General features: G+C 34.4%; 1 protein-coding gene across 22 annotated transcripts in view; it reads left to right on the top strand.

Annotated features, from left to right (window-relative positions):
* Positions 1-15,746, top strand: part of ANKS1B (ankyrin repeat and sterile alpha motif domain containing 1B) — a 1,250,151-nt gene that overhangs the window by 536,177 nt on the left and 698,228 nt on the right. For all 22 annotated transcript variants that reach the window (XM_006719514.5, XM_006719507.5, NM_152788.4 and 19 more), the window contains one exon: positions 4,951-5,087. In XM_006719514.5, coding sequence (XP_006719577.1) covers positions 4,951-5,087 — 137 coding nt within the window. The remainder of the gene's footprint in view (positions 1-4,950; positions 5,088-15,746) is intronic.

Below are 15,746 nucleotides of genomic sequence, written 5' to 3'. Positions count from 1 at the left end.
TCTCTTTCTCTCCCTATATCCAGCACATCAATAATTTTAAAAAATTTAATTATTTTTAAATAGACAAAAATTATATATACTTATTGTGTACAACAAGCTGTTTTAAAACATGTATACATTGTGGAATAGCTAAATTGAACTGATTAGCATATGTATTACCTCACATACTTAGCATTTTTTTTGTGGTGAGAACTCTTAAGATCTACTCTTTTAAAGAATACAATACATTGTTATTAACTATAGTCACCATATTGTATGATAAACCTCTTGAACTTATTCCTTCTAATTGATATTTTGTGTCCTTTGACCAACATCTCCCCAGTCCCTGGTAACCACCATTCTATTCTCTGCTTCTGTGAGTTCGACTTTGTTTAGATTTCATATATAAGTGAGATCACGTGTCATTTGTCTTTCTGTGCCTGGCTTATTTCACTTAACACAAGGTCCTCCAGGTTCATCTATACTGATAACGGAATTCCCTTCTTTTTTAAGGCAGCATAGTATTCCACTGTATGTATATATTACATTTTCTTTCCATTTATCCATTCATCTCTTAATGGACACAAGTTAATTCCATGTCTTGGCTACTGAATAATGCTACAATAACATGGGAGTGGAGATATCTCTTCTACATAATGATTCATTTCCTTTGGATATATACCCAGCAGTGGGATGGCTGGATTATGTGGTAATTCTATATTTTGTTTTTGAGGAACTCCATACTATTCTCTCTAATGGCTGTACTAATTTACCTTCCCATTAACAGTGTACAGTGGTTCCCCTTTCTCCACACCCTTGCTAGCATCTGTTATTGCCTGTCTTTTTTATAAAAGCCATTTTCCCTGGGGTGAGATGATATTTCATTGTAGTTCTGATTTGCATTTCTCTGATGATTAGTGTTGTTAGGGATTTTTTTCATATACCTGTCGGCCATTTGTATGTCCTCTTTTGAGAAATGTCCATTCAGATCCTTTGCCCATTTTTAAATCAGGTTATTGTTTTCTCACTATGAGTTGTTTGAGTTCCATATATTTTGGATGTTAACTCCTTATCAGAGGTACTGTTTACAAATATTTTCTCCTATTTCATAAATTGTTTCTTCACTCTCTTCATTGGTTCCTTTGCTGTGCAGAGCTTTTTAGTTTGACATAATCCCATTTGTCTATTTTTGCTCTTGCCTGTGCTTTTGAGGTCATAGCCAAAAAATCATTGCCCAAATCAATGTTGTGGAGGTTTTTCTCTGTGTTTTCTTCTAATAGTTTTACCACTTCAATTTTACACTTAAGTCTTTAATTAATTAAGAAAATGTTTTTTTAGAGAGTGGTCTCCCTATGTTTCCCAGACTGGCCTTAAACTCCTGGGTTCAAGCAAACTTCCTGCCTCAGTTTCTCAAGTAGCTGGAAGTACAGACATGTACCATTGCACCCAGCTTTAATCCATTTTGAGTTAGTTTTTGTATATAGTGTGAGATGAAGGTCTAATTTTATTCTTCTGCATGTGAATATCCAGTGTCCCAATGCCATTATTGAAGAGGCTGCCCTTTCCCCATTGTGTGTTGTTGGCACCTTTGAAATAAATTAACCAAAAATATGTGTATTTATTTCTGGGATTTCTGTTCTTTTCCATTGGTTGATGTGTCTGTTTCTATGCCAGCATCAAGTTGTTTTGATTATTATAGCTTTGTAGTATATTTTGAAGTCAGGTAGTGTAATGTGCTCAGTTTTTTCTTTTTGTTCAAGGTTGCTTTGTCTATTCAGGAGCCATCAAAAAAATTCTTGGTCTATTTCAACAGTTCTGGACATTTCAACACATGTCCAGAATCTAATCACTTATCAACTCCAAAATGCTAACGTCATGACCTCTAGCTTGGGTCTCTAGTCTTAACATATCTTCCAGCTTCCAAATATTAAATATTATACTATATAGTACTCAAAGGCATACCCTAAAGATGTTTTTATGGTTGACTTTTTTGTTGTTTTTATTATTTATTTTTCATAGTGTCTATGTCTACTTTTTAAGTTTCTGGAAGTTGGTTCAACTATATTTTGAAGTAGAGTGTGCTCCTACCTCAACTATGCCGATCTTCTTCAGGCTATGTTTCTATGAACCCAATCATACCTATGCATATCTTTTGCATACCTGCTATGACATGCTAACTCTCAGAAGGGTAACATGGCATCAGTCTGAAATTTGAATCCTTTTCTGCCAGTAACTGAGAATATAACTTTGAGATGAGTTTCTCTGTAAAATAGGGATGGTGATAGTGGAATGTATTTTGTAAGTTAATTTGGGTATTAAATGAGATTCAATAAGTAAAATAATTTAACATGGCTTGTCTGCACATAATAAATGCTCAATAAAAGTTATCTATTATTATGTCACTCCCTGCTCAGTCTTCAATATTTCTCATTGCCTACAGAATTAAGTATGTTTATATTCTAATAAAACTTCCTTTCACTCATTCAAACTTATCTCCAGTTTTTTTGTATATGAAATAACAGCTTCAACTGTGCTCTTCCTACCTTCATGCCCTAATATCTAATGTTTTGTTCCAGCTTTCTTGCCTGAAAACTGAAGCCTTTCACAGCTATCTTCTGTCCAAGCCATAGTCTGATTACTCCCCCACCCCACCCTGTTTTTTTTTTATCATGCTTCCTTTATCTGTTATCAGTTCTCAAGTTATATTGCATTGTAATTTGTTTACATGTCTGATGACACATTTAAGAGTATACTTTTGGGCTGGGTGCAGTGGCTCATGGCTATAATCCTAGCACTCTAGGAGGTTGAGGTGGGTGGATCACTACAGCTCAGGAGTTCAAGACTAGCCTGAGCAATATGGCGAAACCCCATTTCTACTAAAAATACAAAAAATTAGCCAGATGTGGTAATGTGCACCTGTAGTCCCAGATACTCAGGATGCTAAGGTGGGAGGATCACTTGAGCCTGGGAAGTTGAGGCTGTAGTGAGCTGTGTTCATGCTACTGCACTCCAGCCTGGGTGATGGTAGTGAGACCCTGTCTCAAAAAAGAAAAGGAAAAAACCCAACAGTATACTTCTCGAGGGCAGGGATTCTTTTGAAAAAAAATTCATAGATTTTATTTTTAGAACTTCTTAGACTCACAGCAAAATTGAGCAGAAATTACAAAGTTCATATATTCTCATACACAAAGCCTCCTCTACTATCAACATTCTGCTCCAAAATGATACCTTTGTTATAATTGATGAAACTACATGGACACATCATTATCACCCAAAGTTTATAGTTTATACAGGTTCATTCTCGATTTATACATTCCATGAGTTGGACAAATATATAATGATGATGTATACTCACCATTATACTGTTAAATATAATAGTTTTACTGCCCTGAAAATCCTCAGTGCTTAACCTATTCATCCCTACCTGCCTCCAGTCCTTGGCCAGAGATTCTTCCTAGTTAATCTTTAGAACATAACATAATATTTGACTCATAGTTGCCCCAAATAAGTGTTCTTACATGTGTAGTTTTTAGATGAATGAAAGAAGGAAGGGATAGGTTGGAGAGAATCAGAGCATCTTGCTGACTAATGTTTTGTGTGTTTCAGTATTGACTCATGGTTTTCTAATCTACTCAGAAGACCACCCCATCTCTTTTGTGATGCCAATTCAAATCCCACCTTTTCTGTTAAATCTTAGAAGAGTGTGCTCTGGACACTTTTAAGACTTATTTTATGAGTCATCCAAGTAATTCTATGTGTCATACTTGAATTTTTTGTTTTATGGGCCTTTGTCTGGATTCCTCAGTGAGACTGAGTTATATTTTTATATGGTAGGTAGAGTTTTATGATAATTCATCCCTTTGTGTTTTATGAGGAAAAGATGCCTTGATGAATTCCTGTATTTCACTGGGGATTGTAGACAGCGATCAGGAACAGAGAAACTTCCTGGTCTATAAAAAATTCAGTCTCAGTCTCTTTTGCAATCAGTTCAGCTAACTGTCTAGGAAAGAAAATTATTGGGAACTAATTAAAAACAACAGAGAAGTAAACTTTTTATTTTTTATTTTTTTGGCAGATTTGAGCTTGCAGCAGTTTTCATAAAAAGCTATTGAAGTTTGCCAAATTGTTGTTAAAATAACTTTTCTATGTGCTACCAGAAGTTATTTATAGAATAATTTTCATCCTTTCCCAAGTATTTTAAACATTCTAAAATGGCATCCTTGATGTTATTTTGCTTTAATATGAATTTAAGAAAAAAATGTTACACATGTTGTTGATTTTCAAGTCATCTTTTCTTTATTCCCCCCTCCTAAATACTGAACATAAGAGAAGATTAATTTAGATTCTGAAATTTTATTCATTTAGCTTTGACCACATAGGTTGCTATACTTATCTAGGAGTGATAATTTTGTGTTTATCTACATCATAAAACCATTTTGCACAAATTTCAGTTTTTCATCAAGCTTCATTCACTAGGGTGCTTTTCTATAGTTTGTGGGATTTCTAGGAAAAGTCATTTGAGGAGGCTTGAATTTGGATTTTATGCATCAGGGAGATATAAAACTCCCACTTTAATAAATATTAATACTCATTTAAGAGATTATTGGGAAAGCTTTAGCCCAATCATATCATAAAATTATATTCTTTTTAGTTAAGGTAAGGTTTTAGTTATTCATATAGTAGTAGCAGTCTTAAGAGCTATGCTGGATAATCTATCATTATGAATTGAATAATAATACACTTGTCTCAGAACAACATTCCAGGGGGTGATAGTTACCATTTTAGAAGGAAACAAAGCATTCAAAAAGCATTATCTTTAAAATATACTACTGAGCATATTCCTCATTATGATCTTGTAATTGATACCAGTTTTAAAAGTTGAAATCTCAATTTATGTTCAGAAAATTAATTTCAAGTCTTAAAAGGTAAACTGAGTGATTAGGTTCATGGCAGTTCTATTTTTATTCACAGATAATGCCTCTGAGGTAGCAGTTACTACTCCAGGAACTAGTAACCATAGAAACAGCTCAACAGGCCCAACACCTGATTGTTCACCTCCATCCCCTGATACTGCCCTCAAAAATATTGTAAAAGTCATTCGACCCCAGGTAAGTGCCCAGAATGGCATCATTTTCCCTCTAATGTGTTTTGATTTGAATCAATGCATGTACATCACTTATATTGCAATGCCTGGACTGTTTTATGTGGTATGTCAATGGATTTCTAAATTAAAAGAGGGGACTCAGAAGAGGATGTTTGCTTCCTTTCAAGTTGGTGATAAACACTGAAATCTGCATTAGTTTTTGGAAAAATGAATTGTGCCTGTTACATGAAGCAGTGAGACTTAGAAAAATAGCTATTTTACATCATTTTTCTCTCACAACATTTTAATAATTATGCTCCAATTATTGAGCTGTTACATATTTTCTGGTGTTTCCTGATCCTTTTGTCTTCATTCTTCTGGACAATGCTGCATGGTTTGTGATTATTTCTCTGTCTTCCAACCCAAGTGATTTTTATATTTCTCTATCTTCTCTATTCTTATGGTTTCAATGAATATTGTCTGCGTTTAATATTGCTCCTTGTTTTCCTCCAGTGTTCCCAGTCCTCTAGCTAGTCTCTCTTTATCCTTTGTTCTTTTTTCCATTCCTGTCTCTTTCCTCTATGGATTTCTCTCTTTTCTCCCTTCTCTTTCAGTTGGATTTTCCAGTAGGCGGTTTGCAGGCAAGCTTTAGAAATATCATTGGGACAAGCTGTTCTGTGATATTTCATTGAAAATAGCACTTATAAAGCTGTTTGCATTATATTTTTGCCAACAGATGGACCCAGAACACGAAATTGGTGGTGTTCTCAACCTGGCTCGTTCTGAATGGGCCTCATAAAATCCAAGACAGGAGGACTTTGGATTCAATCAATGCCATTCATCATCTACTTAGATATAGAGTATGAATAAATCCTTTGAGCCAAATTGTAGGGAAAATGTGTCTTTTAAGACTATTTAGGTCTAAATAAGCAAGATTTGTTTAATATTTTTCCTTGTTTAACATAAGTTATTTTAGATCATTTTTATTATAATCTTCATCCTCATTGATAAAATGGCACTTAAATTTTGGATAGCCACTGCAGTTTGTAGAACACTTTAATATAAATTGTTTCCTATATCCTTCATCAATTCAAGTGCAATTTGTGTTTCAGTGTTTATAGATAACATCACTGGCACTCCAAAGGGGCTACATTGTCCAACTGATTTGGAGTTTCTTTTTTTTTACTTTAGTATATTTGCCTCTTCCAGTCCTGCTCAGAGGTTAAAAATATCCTCATGAGGTTGTATAATTTGACACATCTTTAGGAGTATGGAATATGCAGGTTCAGGGGCATTTAGGCACAGGTAACATTTGACATAGTGCCCCAATATGTGGAGAAGAAAAATGTTTTCAAAAATGTCGTCTTCTGCCAGGCACAGTGGCACACGGTTGTAATCCTAGCTACTTGGGAGGCTGAGGCAGAGAATCACCTTGAGCCCAGGAGTTCTAGACCAGTCTGGGTAACATAGTGACACCTTCATCTCATTACAAAATGTCCTCTTTTTCAAGGAAATTTGATGGGGTCTATTTGCTTCAAGATAAACCTCACTAAACCCAGATTTAGTTGCTATCTGTCATTTTCGTTGACACTGGTTCTCTCATATGAAGGTGTTTCTGGGGTTAATGTGTTTCTAGTGCATTTCCAGCATTTTAAAGCTATTTAAGTAAGACATTGTCCTATATATGTTAATAAAATTCATTATTAAATATATTTGTTTTTATACCAATGTAGATTCTCTAATGTAAATGCACTTGGTCATTCAATGAATGAAAAACAGATTCTTTTCTATAGATCCATGATCTGAATAACTGAGGCATTATTTCATAAATCCTTCTCTGCATATTCTAATTGAGTTTAGGTTCACCTGGTTATCTTTGAAGAAATCTAGAGGTAGAATTAAAGCCAGAAATTCCATCTTGACCCAATTTCTTGGTGCTGTCGTTACTTAAATGTTTATCTTAGTAACTGACTCCATCTTTCTTAAATGTTATAACAATGCTTTAAGGAGAAAAACAAATAAGTGAGAAAGTTAAGTAACTCAGGATGATGGTGTTTAAATTAGAACCAATGCAGCCTGTATTTATGTAATAGAACAATAACAGCTATATATCTATATATTTTCTTTCTCTATATATAATTGCAGAAAGAATATAACTTCAATTAGGCTACTCTTTCTTCCACCCTGGAGACATTGGTGCATGACTTATTTCTCCATATGAGTTATGACCTTCAGGGGGCTCCTCATTCATTGTAGAAAGGGAGTAGTATATTCACATGGAAATACTTATGAGAGAGTATTCAGGTAGGACATGAGGTTTCAGGAAAGGATTTGAAGACTAGAGGATGTGCATAGAGGATGGATGGATGGATAGAACAGGAGACTCCTGCTGTGTTCTGACAAATCACAGGTGTGTCAGGGATGGAAAATGGTTGAGAGCTACTGTTCCAAAGAAAAGATAATTATTGATGAACTTATATAAAAGCCTATATTTTAATCACAGGTTTAATACTCTAACATATTTGTTAATTCTGGTTTTCTCTCTGAAAATGCAGAAAGTGTGGAGTTAGATTGATTTATGGGTATTAAAGACCGTTCTAAAAATTTATTTATTAAAAATTAATAATATGATTGAAATGATAATTTCACTTTTAAAACTTGTGTTGAACTTTGAAAATAAAAATGTAAATGTGACCCTTATTCATGAATTTACAATTCTTTGACCATTAGCTGATGTGTTCAGTCTTTTATTGTGGGAAGACTGATATTGAGTAGGTGAGGTAACGGCAGAACTTTTATCTCATTCACTGAAAATAGATACTACTTAGATGTAGCAAATTGGTTCCTTTTCCTTTGCCTCTTGTATACCTTTATGTAGTTTATTTTCTTGTAACTCTACCTGTAAATGGAGAGCATCCATTGTAACGAAGGAGTCCTTGCTTTCAATATGAGATAGGGCTGATAACACATTGCATGTGTTTCTGCTTAGTTAATTACTTGGAAGCTGCCGGCTTCCCAGTGCTTTGTTGAGTTTGTTTTTATTCAGCATATGCATTAACTAAGTCACAGCTGTTAGTTCTGCATCCTGTGTTTGATCTTTTTCACCTTTGTTTCTTTCAGTTATTTCACGTCTTAAAATCCTCTAGATTGTGAAGCAATCTATTTCAAATTCAGAGTGACTGAAATGGTTATTACTCTTTTCTCTTTGTTTCTCTCCAGTATATTAACCCACAAGCCTGAATTTTTCTACTTACTTGTACTTAAATACTTGAAAAAAAAATCTTTGAAATATATATTAGGTAGGTCTATTGACATTCTAGTTATCTTCTTTTTACTGAATAGTTATATGTTACTTGTGTTGGCTTTGTTTTTAAAATAGTTCCTCGTGAAACATCTTGTTTTTCACAATTGAAGAATCAAATACACAGATCTTAAGTATATAGCTTGATGAACTTTAATTATTTACATAGGTATAACACCACTCAAAACAAAATATAGAACATTGCCATCACCCCAGAAAGTTTCCTCTTGCCCCTTTCTAATTAGTTGCCCTCCTTCCTGCCTTGGAGGCAAGAATGTTCAGATTTTTATCATCATGTATTAGGATTGGCTATTCTTGGACTTTATATAAATGGAATCCTATGGTGAGTATGTTTTCTGTGTGCGTATCACTGTTTGGGTTTCTTTCACTCAACATAATGGTTTGGAAATTAATCCATGTTGTTTCTTTCATGGTAAGTGGTTTACCATTGGATTAATATACTATGGTATATTACAATTTGTTCATTAATTCTCCTGTTGATTGATCCTTGCGTTGTTTCCCATTGTTTACCATTATGAGTGAATATGCTATGAATATACACATGTAAGTGTTTTTTATAAACATATGTTTTCATATAGATAAATAAGAATGGCATTGTTGGATCACAGGGTAGATGAATAGCTAACTTTATAAAAAGCTTCCCAACAGCTTTCCAAAAAAGTTGTTCCATTTTATAGTCACCAGTAGCAATGTGTGAGAATTTTCATTTCTCCACATTCTCGCCTTTTAAACTTTTTTATTTTAGCCATTCTTCTGGGTGTGAAATGATTTCTCATTATGGTTTTAATTTGCATTTTTTCTGGTGACTAATGATCATGACTACCTTTTTCTGTGGTTATTGCCAATTCTTAGATCTTCTTTTGTGAAGTATCTGCTCACCTCTTTTTTTTAGGGGTGTTCAGCTTTGTGATTGTTTATTTGTAGTAATTCTTTATAAATTCTTCTGTAACCCCACAAGATATGGGTCCTTTCTCAGGTGTATGCACTCTAAATATTTTCTCCTACTCTGTGATTTGCCTAAACATTTTCTCAAGTGCCTTTTGATGAGCAGAATATTTTAATTTTTATGTCAGATGTATCATTTTATTCTTCTATGGTTAGTGTTTTTGTGACTTGTCCCAGGTTGTAAATATATGCTCCCACTTTTTTCTAGAAGTTTTCTCGTTCTGGTTTTTATATTTAGGTCGATAATCCATCTCAGATTGCTTTGTGTATGGTGTGAGGTGGGGGTCAAGATTTAATTTTTGCTACAAGGAAAAAAATTGTTATTTACTGAGTTAATAATTTAGTATTATTTATTGCTTTCATATTTTAATTGTTTGTTGTTGGCATGTAGAAATGCAGTTGAGTTTTATATTACCATTTTAATTTTATTTAAATGCTAGAGTACTTGTTTGCTTTTTTAAAAAATAACTTCCATAGGATTCTTTTATGTCATCTTATAATAATGATAGTTTGACTTTTTTTTCTAATATTTGTGCCTTTTATTTCTTTTTCTTATTGCTGTGACTATAGTAAAATGATGCAATGAAGTGGTAAAACCAAGAATTATTGCCTTGTTCCCTATCTTTGGGGAAAGCAGACAATGTTACAGTGTTTCAACATTAACTACAATGTAGGCTATCAGTTTATTGCGTGTACTCTTGGTTCTGTTGATATGGCAGATTACATTGTTTTACTTTGGATGCTAATATAAGTAACACTTGGCTATAATGTTTTATACATTTTATGTAGTCTTTGGTGCAAGAGACACTTTGGATAAAGAATTAGCAGTAGATAGATGGATTAGGTCTAAGGGAGCCAAAGATGACTAATGATTTGAGCCTTGTTGATTGGGACTTTGGAATGCTACTAATAAGGATAGGAAAGAATTGAACAGATGTTTATTTTGATGAGGGAGAAGATGACATGATAAGTTTGGTTTTGTAGATTTACTGAACATGAAGCATGATATACAAATTGGAAATATTGGTATGGGGTTCTGGAGAGAGTTGAGGGCTTAAGGTAAAGATTTTATTCTCATTCGTAAAATTCAATGATGAAGAGAGATAGTACCAAAGACAGAATTCTGATAAATGTTTACACTAAAGGAGGATAATTATATTTTTGGAGTACCTAATATAATTTAATGTTCATGATTCTTTTTGGAATGGATATTTTCATTTTATAGGTGAGGAAGTTGAGAACCAGGAACTTAAGTGATTTCCTCACATGTACTTTAGAAAGAAGTCTTTAGCAAAAAAGAGAGAGAGAATCATTGAGAAAAATAAAAGAAGAAAGACAACTCTTACTGTGGATATAAAGAAAAAAAATTTTAAAGTGATTAGTCAACATTGTCAAAACTTCCAGGAAGATAGAGGAGAAGAGAGACCAAAATGTCACTTTATTTGGCAATTATGAGGGCAGAGACCTTCAAGAATGCAATTTCCTTCAGGTGAAGAATGTAGAAGCTTAAGATGAAAGGAATTGAAGAGTGGGAAAAGATACCCTGATTGTAGACTAATCTTTTTAGTAGTTTGATGGTAAAAGGAAATAAGGCAGTATGACAGCATGTTAAAGGATGAGCAGAGGTGGGGAAACAGTTTCTGGTTGCAGAGAATGAGAAAGAAGAGCCTAAAAGTTGACTGAAGAGACATGAATGATAGGGACTCAATTGTTAAATATTTTGTTAGGAGGTGTGTATACATCTAATTAATTCCAAAGTTCAAACAAACTAACATTAGCAGTTGACAGAGCACTGGATTCCTGGTCTGTGCTCTGGGTGGTGGTTTTAGCTAGATGGGTTTTTACACTCCTTTCCCTGTTTCATGATAGAAATCAAGTCTAAAATAGAAGGGGGCTCTTGAGAAGTGACCACGGGCAGAAAAAGAGGCTATTTTGGCACAATACCACAGACAAGTCATCTAAATGGGCTCAATATTGAACAGAGATTTTTAGCATAATGAGCATAAGAATATCCTAAGAAGTCAATCTGGAAAATTTGAAATTCTGTACTATCATCTGAATATTTGTGTTTTCCCCAAATTTCTATGTTGAATTCAAATCCCCAATGTAATAGTATTAAAAAGTGGGGCCTTTAGGAGAGGATTAGGTCAGATGGCAGAGCTCTCATGAATGGGATTAGTTCACTTATAAAAGAGGCCCATGGGAACTTGTTCACCCTTGCAACACATGAGGACACAGCAAGAACTCGGCAATCTGCAATCTGAAAGAGGACCTTCACCAGAACCCAACCAAGGTGGAAACCTGATCTTGGACTTCTCAACCTCCAGAACTGGGAGAGACCCCATAACTTTTTGGTATTTGTTAATAGCAGCCGGAAAAGACATTCCAATTGGCTTTAGATGTTCCTAGTACCATCCAAACCTCACCACTAACCCAAAACCTCATCCTAAATGGAATTCAATAGAATGAAATAACACCAGGCTGCATTCTTTTGCAGCTAAGGAGGGACCATAGCAAAAAGAAGCAAAGAGGCTGTAGAGGTAAAGAAAATAAGGAGAAAGGTCAAAGGCTCAGAGCTCTCAAGACACTAAAGGAGATGATTGGAGGAAAGATGAGTCATTTCTGAACACCTACTCATAATGGACCATGTTTAGATCAGGTACCTACTCAACCTGAAAGAAACATTTTGAATATTCTTCTGGACCTGTGTATGATTAATGAGCTAACAATAAAGCAGTTTAATAATAAGCCATAGCACCTCTCCCTGCCATTATTAACAGTTTAGAACTGGGGTTACAAAAAATTCTTGCCAAATCCAGAATAACATTTTTCTGGGCACTGTGGGGTTATAGAATACATATGCTAAATTTTAAAATTAGAAATGAGAGTGGGTATGTAAAAAACAGAGGCATATAACTTGGAAAGAGTACAGAATATTGTATTGGGTTGCAGCAAAAAATAGATAAGGAATAAAAAGAACTTCAAGGAGATAGTCTTTAAAAATATTTTTATTATTGAGTATTGAGTATTTTATTCCCATGATTGAGTATGTGTTTCATTTGTTTCTCACAAAAATTCTATCAGGTAGGTATATTTTTCCTTATTTTACTGATTGGGCCTGAGGCCACTGACTTACTGGAAGATCTCTGATTTCCTAACTTCAGTAGTTTTTCCATTAATGCTAATTAGCTCATTAGGTAGAAAATAATCGAGGTGGAATACTGATATTCTAGAAGGGTGAAGCTTCAGGAGAGAATAATAGTTTTGAAAAAGGAGGAAGAACAGAAACATAGATGGCAGTAGTATGTAGTCTGAAGGAAAGAGCCAAAGAAGACTGTATTCAGTAATTTCCAGACTTGCAACAAAAGCTGAGTGAGAAGAGAAGGCTAAAAACAGAAAGATAGACGTAATAGAAAATAATATTAAGTAAAACAAAGAGCGATTTGGAAAGGAAAAAAAATGAGAAAGAAGGCAACAGGACCCAACAGTCAACGTTGACAAATATGAATTTTTGAAGTAGTTTTGGACAAATATGAATTTCCTGGGAAGCTTTTTAAAAAAATACCTGAGTTCCACCCCTGACCAATTAAATCAGTCTGTCTGAGGGCAAATATTTTTAACCTGGTGTTCTTGGATAGGCTATGGGTGGTCTACACAATTCCTGGAATTATGTGCAAAATTTTGCTTGTAGGTGCCTCTTTAAAAGGAATTTAGTTCCAACCTTTCTTCTGTCACATGCACTCTGTATTACCCTTCTCACCCTCAGTTTTTCAGCAAAGTGAGAATGGTATTTGCCTTGCCTGCTTCTCAGGGGTGTAGTCAGACTCAAACCAGATAAAAGGTGCCATGGTGCTGTGTACATTGTAAAGCCCTGTAGTGGCCCAACTTGTTATTATAATGGTGATTAGATCATGTTTGCCTACAATTGAAATAAGACCTCTGAGAAGTAATGTTCTAACTCTCTGTGTCATCCCCAAGTAGCTCTGATCATGGCAACTGTGGATTTTAGAAAATGTATTTGGGAACCTTTTAAAGTTCCCTAAATCATTGGAACCTACTTAAGAAGATGTTGGCTACATATGGGGTGATACTCACCTTCAAGCATCTCATTCTTTAGATGCCTCTGCTTAAGTGAGCCACAGGAAGTATAAACTCCTGGAATTTGGGATATGGGAGGAGTCAGTGAGGATAAATGGCACAGTACAGGGTCAGGCTGACCTAATACAGGGGAGGGAAAAGCCGGAATCCAGAAAACAACCACTGTACATTGTATCTTCCATTGATGATTAAAATCACCTTCAATCCATATAGTGGTCATGCCAATTATATGCCAGTGGAATATTATTCATCCTCATTTCTATTCATTTGATGAAATTCCAGGTGAGTTTATCCTACAGGAATATGGAGAATTTTTGTTATTTGGCACTTTCTACAAGTAAAAAAATTTTTTCATCTTTTTTCCTAAACATGAAATGTAATTTTTTATACTTTGTGCCCACATTGCCAGTAATAGCAAGACTGTATTAATATTGTGTTTTCCTTTTGTGTTATTCAGGGGTTTTTCTCCCACATGCATAAAATTCTCAGTGGGTGTCATTGTTTGGCTCAGCTTTTTCCCCTAGAGCATGTCTAGACAGCCTGAATGAGAAAGCATAGATGCACATGTACCCCTGGCACCTAAAATAAAAATAGAAGAAGAGAAACAAAAGAAAATTGAGTTTAGACATTAACTTGAAGTTTTGGAAGAGATGCAAATGAATCATTATAAAGATGAGGAAATATTGATTAAATAGACATTTAATATAAAAGTATTTTCAAATCACATGAGTGGCTAAGAATAGATGTGCTATAAGAATAATGAAAATAAATGTGGTTATTAAAATGGTAATAAATAAATAAAAATATGTTCAAGGATGTTCATTATTGAAATATTTATTGGAAACCTTAATGCCTATTAGTAAGGATAACTTGTTAAATAAGCCATAGTATGTTCATCAAAAATGAAATACATCCTTTGTAGATATATATGTATTGGTCTGTAAAGCTGGTTAAATTTATTGTGTAATTAAATAAAAGAATGCATAGAAAGAAAAAATATTCTGGGAAAAAATTTCCTTGCAAAATAAAATGATCAGAAAGTAGAGTTGGCATTATTGCTTTAAATATCTTAAATGGCAGACTAGAATTTGAAATATAGTCTATCCTTCCCTTTAGGTCACTTATTATTGACAGCACAGGGTGCAGTCAATTACATCTTCCTCTAAGTTCAAGGAAATCTGTTTGACTATACAATGAATAGTATACCTACTGTATGAATCTGAACCTGATCATTCCAACTTCCTAATCTTGCCTGTTCTAAAATTCTGGAATTTAGCTGTGAAAGTACCACAAAGGACATCATTAATTAATTTATTTATTTATTCAATAAACACAGTTGAGTGCCTACCATATGCTGGGCATCTTAAGCGGTGATTTGAGTATGAAAATGACTAAAATATGGATTCTATCCTAAAATAACTTTTAACCAACCAAAGGAGACTGTGCTCTAAATAGAGAACTTTTGGAATTTCACTGATGGAGTTCATTGATCCAATGCCCCAAGGATCATCCTCAGACCTATTCTCAGTCTACTTTCACTCCCCATGTGTTCTCATCCAGTTCCAGAGCTTTCAATGCTGTTTATGTGCTGATTATTCCTAAATTTGTATCTCCAGGCCTGCCCACTTCCCTGAACTCCAGGCTCATGTCCAGCAGGCTACCCTAAATCTCAATGGGATGTCTTAAACTTAACTTATATAGCACTGCAGTTTGCATTTCAGTTAATAGCAGCTCAGGCTTAAAAACTTGACCCCATCCTTGATTTCTTTCTTTCTCTCACACCTCAGATCCATTCCATCAAAAAAATCCTCTAGGCCAGCAGTTCTCAATGTGTGGTTCAGGACCTCTTAGCAGGCTTCAAAACCTTTTCAAAGGTCTGTGAGGTCAAAAATATTTCCATAATAATACAAAGACATTTTGCCTTGTTCTGCTTTTATTTGTACATGAGTTCTAAATGGAGATTTCCAGAAGCTATATGGTAAGTGATGACATCATCATACCTCTGATGGCTAATGGAATGCGCACTTGTGTATTATGCTTAAAGAATTTTTATTTTTAGTTTTTATATAAATATTAACAGATATGACTCTCATGAACAAAAAATCTTCAGTGTTATTAATTTTTAAGGGCATCAAGGGATCTTGAGACCAAAAAGTTCAAAAATCAGTCCTCTAACTTTTCTTTAAAAATATATCTTGAATCTTACCATCTGTCATCTGTCACTATTGTATGAGCCACTAACATCTCTGGCCTAGACCTTTGAAAAAGCTTCATATCTTGTTACTGGCATTGATTATTGTGCTCTTGTCCTTTTGTAAC

Source organism: Homo sapiens, chromosome 12 (assembly GCF_000001405.40).
Source record: "Homo sapiens chromosome 12, GRCh38.p14 Primary Assembly".
Classification (NCBI taxonomy): Eukaryota; Metazoa; Chordata; class Mammalia; order Primates; family Hominidae; genus Homo; species Homo sapiens.
Note: the sequence above shows the minus strand (reverse complement) of the source record. Positions and strands in the feature narration are given on the sequence as shown.